A 13,174-nucleotide genomic window follows, 5' to 3' on the forward strand; every position below is an offset into this window, starting at 1 on the left:
GACGTGAGCCACTGTGTCAGGCAGAGGCTGCATTTTAACACGAGTTCCTTAGCGGATTTGGATCCAAGAAGTTTCTAGAACACATTTCAGAAACATGGGTCTAGGGACCAGGAAGTGAGGACAAGAGTGGAGAGTGACAATAGTGGTATTGAAGATGAGAGGCGCTTGGGTGTGGGGAGTCTTTTCACTGCTTTTTTCTTAATTTGGAATTGAGTTTTGCTAAGAGCTCTACCTCTTTCCTCAAATCCTTTTTCCCCACTCAATGGGTTTTCTAGTTTCTTTGAAAATGGGCTATGTCTCTTTAACCTGTGTAAGGTCAGAAAGGTAAAAGTATCCCTGAAACAGCCTGTCAGGGAGGGCCTCAAACACAAAACAGAATATACCTGAATTCAGTGTGTACACCTCAAAGACAGTCCATTCAGTGACATCTGAATTCAGGGTGCACAACATCAGCAGCAATGTCATCTCTGTTTGTGAAGGACAATGCTGTGTGTACATATTTGGCCTGGCGAGAGAGAGAACATCTTTTGGATATTTTTGCCTTTGAAAGTCATTCATAAGGTTAAAAAAAACCTCAGTCACATTGGTTGATTGGAGATAAAACACTAGTTGAGTGACCAAATTTTTTTCTTTCAATCAGTTGTCACAGAATGCTGTAAAGAGAAGCTCAGTGCCAGGCGATGTTTTTTGGCTTAAAATTTTTGGGAACTTACTGCTGCTTATGCATAGTTAATTATTTCTCTATCTTGCAAAAACATTTAACACTGGATAAAGCAAATTACCTTTTCACAAATCCGAAAGAAGTTTGTTCATGCATTTGTAATGAGATTCTAAACACTAAACAAATATGTGTTTAAGGATACTGCATGTGCCAGGCACTGAAGATCTTTAACATGTAAAATAAAATATATATAGCCTGGGCAACATGGCGAGACCCTGTCTCTACAAAAAATACAAAAAAATTAGATGAGTATGGTGGTGCAGGCCTGTAGTCCCAGCTACCTGGGAGGCTGAGGTTGGAGAATCACCTGAGCCAGGGGAAGTTGAGGCTGCAGTGAGCTGTGATGGTGCCACTGCACTCCAGCCTGGGTAACAGAGTAAGGCCCTGACTCAAAAAAACAAAAACAAAAACAAACAAACAAACAAATGAAAAACCCAAACCAAACATATATATATATTATATATTATATTTATATATGTAAAGCTAAATTGTCAGAAAACTGCAGCTCACCTCAATAACAGTCCATTGTTCTACTACGATGGCATCATTTCCTTTCCTACTAGAACCTGGAACTCCAGAACCTTCTTCTTCATAGATAAAAAATCCTTCCAAAGATTTAGGCAAATGTTCCCCTGTGAGGAAGAGGGTACAATTAAGAAGGGTTGTAAATACTAAGTGGCTCATAAAACCATCTAAATCCTTAAATAACTCATATAGGAAACTGAAGGAAAAACATTTCAATTAAAAAACATTTGTTGCCCCCTCCCCCTCCCCCTCTCCCTCTCCCTCTCCCTCTCCCCACGGTCTCCCTCTCCCTCTCTTTCCACGGTCTCCCTCTGATGCCCAGCCGAAGCTGGACGGTACTGCTGCCATCTCGGCTCACTGCAACCTCCCTGCCTGATTCTCCTGCCTCAGCTTGCCGAGTGCCTGCGATTGCAGGCGCGCGCCGCCACGCCTGACTGGTTTTCGTATTTTTTTGGTGGAGACGGGGATTCGCTGTGTTGGCCGGGCTGGTCTCCAGCTCCTAACCGCGAGTGATCCGCCAGCCTCGGCCTCCCGAGGTGCCGGGATTGCAGACGGAGTCTCGTTCACTCAGTGCTCAATGGTGCCCAGGCTGGAGTGCAGTGGCATGATCTCGGCTCGCTACAACCTCCACCTCCCAGCAGCCTGCCTTGGCCTCCCAAAGTGCCGAGATTGCAGCCTCTGCCCGGCCGCCACCCCGTCTGGGAAGTGAGGAGCGTCTCCGCCTGGCCGCCCATCGTCTGGGATGTGAGGAGCCCCTCTGCCTGGCTGCCCAGTCTGGAAAGTGAGGAGTGTCTCTGCCCGGCCACCATCCCATCTAGGAAGTGAGGAGCGCCTCTTCCCGGCCGCCATCACATCTGGGAAGTGAGGAGCGTCTCTGCCCGGCCGCCCATCGTCTGAGATGTGGGGAGCACCTCTGCCCTGCCGCCCCGTCCGGGATGTGAGGAGCGTCTCTGCCCGGACGCCCCGTCTGAGAAGTGAGGAGACCTTCTGCCTGGCAACCGCCCCGTCTGAGAAGTGAGGAGCCCCTCCGCCCGGCAGCCGCCCCGTCTGAGAAGTGAGGAGCCCCTCCGCCCAGCAGCCACCCCGTCTGGGAAGTGAGGAGCGTCTCTGCCCGGCAGCCACCTCGTCCGGGAGGGAGGTGGGGGGGTCAGCCCCCCGCCCGGCCAGCCGCCCCATCCGGGAGGGAGGGAGGTGGGGGGGTCAGCCCCCTGCCCGGCCAGCCGCCCTGTCCGGGAGGTGAGGGGTGCCTCTGCCCGGCCGCCCCTACTGGGAAGTGAGGAGCCCCTCTGCCCGGCCAGCCGCCCCGTCCGGGAGGGAGGTGGGGGGGGTCAGCCCCCCATCCGGGAGGTGAGGGGCGCCTCTGCCCGGCTGCGCCTACTGGGAAGTGAGGAGCCCCTCTGCCCGGCCACCACCCCGTCTGGGAGGTGTACCCAACAGCTCATTGAGAACGGGCCATGATGACAATGGCGGTTTTGTAGAATAGAAAGGGGGGAAAGGTGGGGAAAAGATTGAGAAATCGGATGGTTGCCGTGTCTGTGTAGAAAGAGGTAGACATGGGAGACTTTTCATTTTGTTCTGTACTAAGAGAAATTCTTCTGCCTTGGGATCCTGTTGATTGGTGACCTTACCCCCAACCCTGTGCTCTCTGAAACATGTGCTGTATCCACTCAGGGTTGAATGGATTAAGGGCGGTGCAAGATGTGCTTTGTTAAACAGATGCTTGAAGGCAGCATGCTCCTTAAGAGTCATCACCACTCCCTAATCTCAAGTACCCAGGGACACAAACACTGCGGAAGGCCGCAGGGTCCTCTGCCTAGGAAAACCAGAGACCTTTGTTCACTTGTTTATCTGCTGACCTTCCCTCCACTATTGTCCTGTGACCCTGCCAAATCCCCCTCTGCGAGAAACACCCAAGAATGATCAATTAAAAAAAAAAAATAATAATAACAATAATAAAATAAAATAAAATTAAAAAAAAACATTTGTTTTGGCTGAATCAATAATCTCCTCCTCCTCTTGGAAAGTTTTTCTTTCTCCCCAAAGAGCAACACTTTTTTTTTTTTTTTTACTTCACTGAATTAAAATCCAACTATACATATAAAAACTACAATAGCAAAAACAAGGTAAAATAGTGTGGCACAGTGAGAAGCGAGTGGAAAATCAATCTAAAAGGCATCTGGATGTGATCTTCATTTTGAAATCAAAATTTGGTTTCGGATCTATACGTTGTATGCATGTTAATTATAACCATTAAGAGAAACAGCATAAAACTGTTAATATTTGAAATTAAAGACATAATATTAAAATTAATGCTAGGTAAGATTACTTCAAAAGACCTAAACACAGAACAATTCTTTACCTCAATGATGGGTTAAAAAAAAAAATAAGAAAAACAGGGACAGGAAGACCCTAAACAGAAGTCATTGTCAAAAGAATTCCTGCTGGGAAGGAAGTTTTAAGGGAGGGCCTCTCTGACTTTTTCTTGAATAGTTGACAATAACCAGCTGGCCTACACAAACTGATTTTATGGAAGTTCTTTTGTCTCCTATTTTGCTATAGGAGACATTTTTCCCATGGTCATGTGCTGCTTAAACATTTCGGTTTTTGTGTAGCACAATGTCACATTAAAGTTTCCCTGGTTGACAGCTCTCTAAATTCTAAAGGCCTGCAAACTTTTCAAAGGATCTTTTAAGCTTAAAGATAAAAAAGACAAAAGTAATTTTAATGTAATTTTCTGTTTTAATTTTCATTATCAGGCTATAAATTTTAAGAGATAAATCATTATTATTATTTTTTTGACATAATTCATGGTTAGGGCAGAACACCATGAAGAATTTGCATTGTTCAGAGTGGTTCCCAAGAACCCAGTAGGCTGGGCGCAGTGGCTCACGCCTGTAATCCCAACAGTTTGGGAGGCCGAGGCAGGCAGATCACCTGCGGTAGGGAGTTTGAGACCAGCCTGACCAACATGGAAAAAACCCATATCTACTAAAAATACAAAATTAGCTGGGCATGGTGGCGCATGCCTGTAATCCTGGCTACTCGGGAGGCAGAGGCAGGAGAATCGCTTGAACCCGGGAGGGGGAGATTGCGGTGAGCCGAGATCGTGCCATTGTACTTCAGCCTGGGTGACAGAGCAAGACTCCATCTCAAAAACAAAACAAAACAAAACAGAAAAATGAAAAACAAACAAAAAACCCAGTGAAGTTTAGTTTCCTAGTTCAAGCTGGTTTTCTAATTACAGTGTCTATTTCATTTCCTTTAAGTGTACTTATTTACTGTCACACTGAAGTGACCAGTGGAATCAAATTTGTTTCTGATTGAAAGTTTAGGGCATCACTAGATCATCTACAATTGTGCATGCCCCAAGTTCCCTTTTAGAGGTATGTGTTTTAAAATTAGTTGTATCCTGTGATAATTACATAGTTAATTATAATCTCCTTCTTTCTTACTTTGGGATTATATAATGTGAAAACTCTGGGCTTTGTGGCTCCAGGTGTGTTTTCTTGCTCTCAATATTGGGAGGCACTAGCACAGTCCCACCTTGCTTTATTGTGCTTTGCTTTACTGTGTTTTGCAGATACCGGTTTTTTTTTTTTTTTTTCAAATTGAAGGTTTGTGGCAATCCTGCATTGAACAAGTCTATTAGTGCCATTTTTCCAAAGGTGTGTACTCACTTCATGTGTTGGTGTCACATTTTAGTAATTCTTGCAATATTTCAACCTTTTTCATTATTATTCTATCTGTTATGGTGGTCTGTGATCAATGATCTTTGATGTTACTATTGTAATTGTTTTGGGCCACCGGGAACCATGCCCATATAAAATGGTGAATTTAACTGATAAACGTTGTGGGGGTTCTGACTGCTCCACTGACTGGCCCTTCCCCCATCTCTCTCCCTCTTCTCGAGGCCCCCATTCCCTGAAATTAGGCCAATTAATAACCCCGAAATAGCCTCTAGGTGTTCAAGTGAAAAGAAGAGTCACAAGTTTCTCATTTTAAATCGAAAGCTGGGAATTATTATTAAGCTTAGTGAGGAAGACATGTCAAAGCTGAGACAGGCGGTAAACTAGGCCTCTTGTGTCAGTTAGCCAAATTGTGAATGTAAGGGAAAAGTTCTTGAAGGAAAATAAAAGTGAATGAATGATAAGAAAGCAAAACAGACTTCTCGATGATGGAGACAGTTTTAGTGGTCTGGATAGAAGATCAAAGCAGCCACAAGCAGTCCCTTAAGCCAAAGCCTAATCCAGAGCAAGATCCTAACTCTCTTCCATTCTATGAAGGCTGAGAGAGGTGAGGAAGCTGTGGAAGAAAAGTTGGAAGCCAACAGAGGTTGGTTCATGAAGTTTAAGGAAAGAAGCTGTCTCCATAACATAAAATTGCAAGGTGAAGGAGCAAGTGCTAATGTAGAAGCTGCAGCAAGTTATCTAGAAGATCCAGCTAAGAGAATAGATAAAGGTGGCTGCACAAAACTACAGATTTTTATTTATTATTTATTTATTTATTTTGAGACAAGGTCTCACTCTTTCACTCAGGCTGGGGTGCGGTGGCATGATCTTGGCTCACTGCAACCTCTACCTCCCCAGGCTCAAGCAATTCTCCTGCCTCAGCCTTCCAAGTAGCTCAGATTATAGGCACACACCACCAAACCCAGCTAATTTTTGTATTTTTAGTAGAGGCGGGGTTTCACCATTTTAGCCAGGCTGATCTCGAACTCCTGACCTCAAATGATCCAACCTCCTCAGCCTCCCGAAGTGTTGGGATTACAGGCGTGAGCCACTGCGCCTGGCCTAAAACTATAGATTTTCAGCGTCAGTAAAACAACCTTACAGTGGAAGACGTCATCCAGGACTTTCATTGCTAGAGAGGAGAAGTCAATGCCTGGCTTCAAAGCTTCGTAGGACACGCTGACTCTCTTGTTAGGGACTAATGCAGCTGGTGACTTTAAGTTGAAGCCAATGCTCATTTACTATTCCAAAAATCCTAGGGCCCTTAAGAATTATGCTAAATCTACTCTGCCTGTGATCTAGACATGGAAAACAAAGGCTGGATGACAGCACATCTGTTTATAGCAAGGGTTACTGAATATTTTAAGCCCACTATTCAGACCTACTGCTCAGAAAAAAAGATGCCTTTCAAAATATTATGCTTATTGACAATGTACTTGGTCACCTAACAGCTCTGATGAAGATATACAAGAAGATTAATGTTTTCATGCCTGCTAACACAACATCCATTCTGCAGCCCATGGATCAAGGAGCCATTTTGACTTTCAAGTCATATATTTAAGAAATACATTTTGTAAGGCTATAGCTGCCATAGATAGTGATTCCTCTGATGGATCTGGGCAAAATAAATTAAAACCTTCTGGAAAGGATTCACTATTCTAGATGCCATTAAGAACATTTATGATTCATGGGAGGAGGCCAAAATATCAACATGAACAGGAGTTTGAAAGAGGTTGACTCCAATTTTCATGGATGACTTTGAGGGGCTCAAGACTTCAGTGGAGAAAGTAATTGCAGATGTAGTGAAAATAATGAGAAAGCCAGAATTAGAAGTGGAGCCTAAAAATGGAGACTAAATTGCTGCAATCTCGTAGTAAAACCTGAATGGATGAGTTGCTTCTTATGGATGAGCAAAGAAAGTGGTTTCTTTCTTTTTTGTTGTTGTTGTTTTTTTGAGATGGAGTCTCACTCTGTTTCCCAGGCTGGAGTGCAGTGGCACGATCTCAGCTCACTGCAACCTCCACTTCCCAGGTTCAACTGATTCTTGTGCTTCAGCCTCTTGAGTAGCTGGGACCGCAGGCGTGCACCACCATGCCAGGCTAATTTTTGCATTTTAATTTATTATTTATTTATTTATTTTTGAGACAGAGTTTTGCTTTGGTTGCCCAGGCTGGAGTGCAATGGCATGATCTTGGCTCACTGCAACCTCTGCCTCCCGGGTTCAAGTAATTTTCCTGCCTCAGCCTCCTGAGTAGCTGGAATTACAGGCGTGTCACTACGTCTGGCTAATTTTGTATTTTTAGTAGAGACAGGGTTTCACCATGTTGGTCAGGCTGGTCTCGAACTACTGACCTCAAGTGATCCACCTGCCTCGGTCTCCCAAAGTGCTGGGATTACAGGTCTGAGCCACCACGGCTGGCAAATTTTTGTGTTTTCAGTAGAGATAGGGTTTCACCATGTTGGCTAGGGTGGTCTCGAACTCCTGACCTCAAGTGATCCTCCCGCCTCGGCCTCCCAAAGTGCTGGGATTACAGGTGTGAGCTACAGTGCCCAGTCTAGAAAATGGTTTCTTAAAATGGAATCTACTCCTGGTGAAGATGCTGTGAACATTGTTGAAATGACAATGAAGGATTTAGAATATTAAATAAATTTAGGCGATAAAGCAATTGGAGGGTTTGAGAGGATTGACTCCCATTTTGAAAGAAGTTCTACTGTGGTTAAAATGCCGTCAAACAGCATCATATGCTAGAGAGAAATTTTGTGAAAGAAAGAGCTGGCGTGGCGCGGTGACTCATGCCTGTAATCCCAGCACTTTGGGAGGCTGAGGTGGGCGGATCACAAGGTCGGGAGATGGAGACCATCCTGGCTAACACGGTGAAACCCATCTCTACTAAAAATACAAAAAATTAGCCGGGCGTGGTGGCGTGAGCCTGTAGTCCCAGCTACTCGGGAGACTGAGGCAGGAGAATGGCGTGAACCCGGGAGGCGGAGCTTGCAGTGAGCCAAGATCTCACCACAGCACTCCAGCCTGGGCGACAGAGCGAGACTCTGTCTCAAAAAAAAAAAAAAAAAAAAAAAAGAAAGAGCCAATTGATGCAGCAAATTTCATTGTATTATTTTAAGAAATTGCCACAGCTGGCCAGGCGCAGTAGCTCATGCTGTAATCCCAGCACTTTGGGAGGCTGAGGCAGGTGGATCACTTGAGTTCAGGAGTTCAAGACCAGCCTGGGCAACATAGTGAGATCCTGTCTCTAAAAAAATAGCCAGTGTGGTGGTGCACACCTTGGTCCCAGCTACCCAAGAGGCCAACGTGGGAAGATTGCTTGAACCTGGGAGGCGGAGGTTGCAGTGAGCTGAGATCACATCACTGTGCTCCAGCCTGGGTGACAGGGCGAGACTCTATCCCCAAAGAGAAAAAAATTAAATTAGAAATTGCTACAGCCACCCCCAACCTTCAGCAACCACCACCCTGATCAGTCAGCCACCATCAACACAGAGGCAAGACCCTCTACCATCAGGCTGGTCTCAAACTCCAGGCCCCCAGGGATTCTCCCACCTTGGCCTCCCAAAGTACTGGGACTACAGGCATGAACCACTGTGCTGGCCCATTCTTTTCAAATATATTCATCTTACATAAAAGCCACTCAATCTTAAAGTAATATTGACACTCCAGGAAGAGTTATATTCTGCAAACTTGTGAACTTGTGTACTCCTTGGCACAAGGCTGAATATCCTGAGGGTACTTGAACCCTGGTTTGAAAAGCACATGTTTGAAGGGCTCCCAGGGAATGGTTTACTTTTCTGGACATGTCTTGTCTTTTAGCTGGATATGATATTGACATTCCTGTAAAGGTGCAGAGAGGTAACACTCCATTTTAGTTTTTTTGGTTCCCCTGTCATTTTTGGTATTCAACTGCCCAGAGGTGGGCCCGGGAGCATCTTTGAAGTAGAGGGCAGGCACATATGGTAACTCTAAAAAGAATCTTAGCCTATCCACTTCTTTCCATCTCCACCATCATCTCTCTAGGGAGCACTGCAACAGCCTCTTAACAGCCTCCCCACCACACTTCCACTCTTGCCCTCTGTGATCCATTTCTCATAATGAGGGCAAAGAAATTCCTCTCTCCTCTCCTCTCCTCTCCTCTCCTCTCCTCTCCTCTCCTCTCCTCTCCTCTCCTCCCCTCCCTTCCCCTCCCCTCCTCTCCCCTCCCTTCTCTTTTCTCTCCTCTCTTTTCCTTTCCTTTCTTCTTTTTTTGAGATGGAGTCTCACTCTGTTGCCCAGGCTGCACTGCCCAGTGCAGTGCAGTGGTGTGATCTCGGCTCACTGCAACCTCCACCTCCCAGGTTCAAGAGATTTTCCTGTCTCAGCTTCCTGAGTAGCTGGAACTACAGGCACCCACCATGCCCGGCTAATTTTTGCATTTCTAATAGAGACAGCGTTTTGCCGTGTTGGCCAGGCTAGTCTTGAACTCCTGACCTCAAGTGATCCACCTGCCTTGGCCTCCCAAAGTGCTGGGATTACAAGCGTGAGCCACCGCACCTTGCTAGAAATTCTTTAAAAATTGCAAATGAGATTATGACTCCCTGTTTAAATCTTTAATGAATGAATTGGAATAAATATCTTGGTAAAAGCACACACTCCATCTAGGTGGCTCTACCACTTTCTAGTTGTGTGAATGCAGGCACCTTATGTAAAATCTCTGTGCTTCAGTTCCTTCATATGTAAAAGGAGAATAAGCATGGCCTGGCACGATGGCTCACACCTGGAATCCCAGCACTTTGGGAGGCCAAAGCTGGAGGATCACTTGAAGCCAGGAGTTTGAGACCAACCTGGGCAGCAAAGCGAGACCATGTCTACAAAAAAATTTAAAAAATTAGCTGGGTGTGGTGGCGTGCATATAGTCCTGGTTACTCGGGAGGCTGAGGTGGGAGGATTGCCTCGGCCCAGGAGTTCAAGGCTACAGTGAACTATGATTGTGCCCTTGCACTCCAGCCTGGGTGACAGTGAGACCCCATCTACAAATAAATAAATAAATAAATAAATAAAGTTAAAATAAAAAAAAGGAATAATCTTCTTTTTTTTTTTTTTTTTTTTTTGAGACGGAGTCTTGCACTGTCGCCTGGGCTAGAGTGCAGTGGTGTGATCTCGGCTCACTGCAACCTCTGCCTCCTGGCAAGCGATTTTCTTGCCTCAGCCTCCTGAGTAGCTGGGACTATAGGCGCCCGCCACCACATCCAGCACATTTTTTGTATTTTTAGTAGAGACGGGGTTTCACTACGTTGGCCAGGCTGGTCTCAAACTCCTGACCTCGTAATCCGCCCACCCCAGCCTCCCAAAGTGCTGGGATTACAGGCGTGAGCCACCATGCCCAGCCATAATCATCTTTACCTCACAGGTTGCTGTGGGGACTAAATGAGTTAATGAATGCAAAATGCTTAGCACAACGCTGGTGTATAGCAAGTACAAAATAGATGTTAGCTGCTGTCATTGCATTCTTCCTGTTTAGGACCCTGTAGGGACTGGCTGCTGCCTACCTCTTCCATTGTGTCCAGAGCCATACTGTTGCTTGCCTTGCTCCAGAAACACAGACCTTTTCCCAGTTCCTCTTTCCTGCCCTAAGGTCTTTGTACATTTAGATGTGTTTCTCCGGCCTAGAATGGCCTACCTCTGGTTCTCACAGGTCTGCTCCTCTCCAGCTGCCCAGTCTCAGTGTGATTGCTGCCTTCTCAGAGGGGACCTCCCGACCACCTCTTTAAGTGAGTTCTTCCCTGGTACTCTCGCCATAATATCCTCTATGGTCATGTTACACAATTTTCTTAGTTTTGAAATTAGATATATATGTTTTGACACTTTCACTGCCTGACTGCCCGATGCCATACGGCTAGCGCCTTGTAAGTAGGGAAGAGTATTATAAACCCAGTGCTTGGCATGGGTCCTGGCATATATGAAATGAGTTTCAATGTTATAACTCCATCCTCACTCTTCATTGTGCTACCTCTCCTCTACTAGTGCCACACAAACATTTTTATAGGAGTGGAAAGATTGAAATGAATAACAAGTGAAGTCTGAAAAGAATTCTTAAAAAATCAAAATGTAGCCTTAAGATGTGGTATCCTAAGGTGGGGAAAGACTATGCTCTGGCGGTGGTGGGGCATTTGGAGGCTGGGGAAGTGTAGGAACCTCGAGGCTAATTGTGTGTGTGTCCCAGGGTGTGCTTCACAGCAGAAAAGGCTGTTAGAGTGAGTGTGGAGGGACACTGAGAAGGAATTTCACAGATCTTACAACTTTTACACTCTGCTGAAGTAGAAAACTTTTTGAACATCTGTCCCCCGCCCCCCCGCCCCCCCGTGTTTCTGGAAGGAGGTATTTTATTCAGCGTGATTTGTGGGGTAATATATTTAAATTTCTGAGCGCTGTCTGGTTTTGTTCTTCCATTCCTCATGGTGGGCTAACTTCTGACAATATTTTGGAAGAGGACAGAAGCAAGACCAAACAAAATATGCATTGTCTGCCCCCACCACCCTCCCCATGTGCTTTAGATGTCAGGCATCAAACATACCAAAACAAAGCGACCAATTCAGCCCTGCTTCCTCTGAATGCTTCTCACAGTGACACAGATATTGGTCACAATTTCCCCTTGGCAACTTCCCTGTGTACTCCCAGGAAAGTCCCAAATGACATGCTCAGTTGCCAGACCCCATAGACTGACGTGGCTTGTGAGGGGCTTGCCATAGCCTGCAATGTCAAATGTCTAATGAGACATTCCAGAGCTGCTGAGAGGGGAAGATTCTGCACCCCCGTCTCCGTGACCCCCTCCACCCCATGAGCTGCTGAGAGAGGGAGTCTCCCTGGGGCTCTCTAAATAGCTTCTGAGGCTTTAAGAACAAAAGCCACACAGAGCCTGGCTGGCAACTGCTGTGGCTAATTTTATTTTCATCAGGCAAGACCCAAGGCAGGGATGCCTGAGAGAGATTGTGAAAAGTGTATGTTTTGTTTTTCTGTTCAGCAGTTAGTCACACACCAAAATTTGAAATGGCTTCAACTAAACTTTTTGGAGAGAAGAGAAACAAGAGAGAAAGAGAAAGAGAGAGAGAGAGAGATATTATGAAGCATAAACCAACCTCTAAATAGATGATCCACACTAAAAGTACTGTAATTGCACATAACAAGTGGCAGGAAAGAAAACTAACACCAGAAAATGAACTCTGACTGTAGGCTAGGCATTCTGGGAGTCACTTTACATTTATTATATCTTGTTACATCATCACAACAGAAAAAGTAGGAGTATTTTTATTCCTCTTTAAGAAACTGAGACTCAGTGAGCTCAACTAACTTCCGAAGATGACACAGCTAATAAGTAGAAGACATAGGATTTAAACCTTGGTCTGTCTGATTCTAAAGCCCATGTCCTTCCTATGAAACTTTGCTATTGCTATAAAAGACCAAGTGGATGGGACCGTAAACTAGTTCAACCATTGTGGAAGACAGTGTGGCAATTCCTCGAGGATCTAGAACTAGAAATATCATTTGACCCAGCCATCCCATTACTGCGTATATACCCAAAGGATTATAAATCATGCTGCTATAAAGACACACGTACACGTATGTTTATTGTGGCACTATTCATAATAGCAAAGACTTGGAACCAACCCAAATGTCCATCAATGATAGACTGGATTAAGAAAATGTGGCACATATACACCATGGAATACTATGCAGCCATAAAAAAGGATGATTTCATGTCCTTTGTAGGGACATGGATGAAGCTGGAAACCATCATTCTGAGCAAACTATCGCAAGGACAGAAAACCAAACACCACATGTTCTCACTCATAGGTGGGAACTGAACAATGAGAACACTTGGACACAGGGTGGGAAACATCACATACTGGGGCCTGTCATGGGGCAGGGGGATGGGGGAGGGATAGTATTAGGAGAAATACCTAATGTAAATGACGATTTGATGGGTGCGGCACACCAACATGGCACATGTATACCTATGTAACAAACCTGCACATTGTGCACATGTACCCTAGAACTTAAAGTATAATAATAATAAAAAATAAATAAAAGACCAAGTGGAAGAGGCTTCCAATAACCAAAAAATATGAAGAAATATTTTTAATTTTTATACACACACACACACACACACACACATATTTATTTTATTTTATTTTATTTTATTTTATTTTTTTTTGA

The 13,174-nt window shown here is 45.0% G+C and overlaps 1 protein-coding gene across 6 annotated transcripts in view, besides 3 other annotated features; it reads right to left on the reverse strand.

Moving 5' to 3' along the window:
* RFTN2 (raftlin family member 2) overlaps positions 1 to 13,174 on the reverse strand; it is a 107,364-nt gene that overhangs the window by 48,345 nt on the left and 45,845 nt on the right. For all 6 annotated transcript variants that reach the window (XM_017003332.3, XM_011510598.4, XM_011510597.4 and 3 more), the window contains exon 6: positions 1,232 to 1,353. In XM_017003332.3, the coding sequence (XP_016858821.1) occupies positions 1,232 to 1,353 (122 nt within the window). The remainder of the gene's footprint in view (positions 1 to 1,231; positions 1,354 to 13,174) is intronic.
* Positions 2,727 to 3,231: an enhancer, noted in NCBI's record as "NANOG-H3K27ac-H3K4me1 hESC enhancer chr2:198484019-198484523 (GRCh37/hg19 assembly coordinates)". NCBI's record gives its function as "activates a minimal SCP1, AML or CMV promoter by ChIP-STARR-seq in primed H9 embryonic stem cells {active_cell/tissue: H9 hESC(primed)}" and the evidence as "EXISTENCE:reporter gene assay evidence [ECO:0000049][PMID:30033119]".
* Positions 3,688 to 4,188: an enhancer, noted in NCBI's record as "H3K4me1 hESC enhancer chr2:198484980-198485480 (GRCh37/hg19 assembly coordinates)". NCBI's record gives its function as "activates a minimal SCP1, AML or CMV promoter by ChIP-STARR-seq in primed H9 embryonic stem cells {active_cell/tissue: H9 hESC(primed)}" and the evidence as "EXISTENCE:reporter gene assay evidence [ECO:0000049][PMID:30033119]".
* Positions 11,678 to 11,757: an enhancer, noted in NCBI's record as "active region_16941". NCBI's record gives its function as "activates an Ori minimal core promoter by ATAC-STARR-seq in GM12878 lymphoblastoid cells {active_cell/tissue: GM12878}" and the evidence as "EXISTENCE:reporter gene assay evidence [ECO:0000049][PMID:35858748]".

Source organism: Homo sapiens, chromosome 2 (assembly GCF_000001405.40).
Source record: "Homo sapiens chromosome 2, GRCh38.p14 Primary Assembly".
Lineage (NCBI taxonomy): Eukaryota > Metazoa > Chordata > Mammalia > Primates > Hominidae > Homo > Homo sapiens.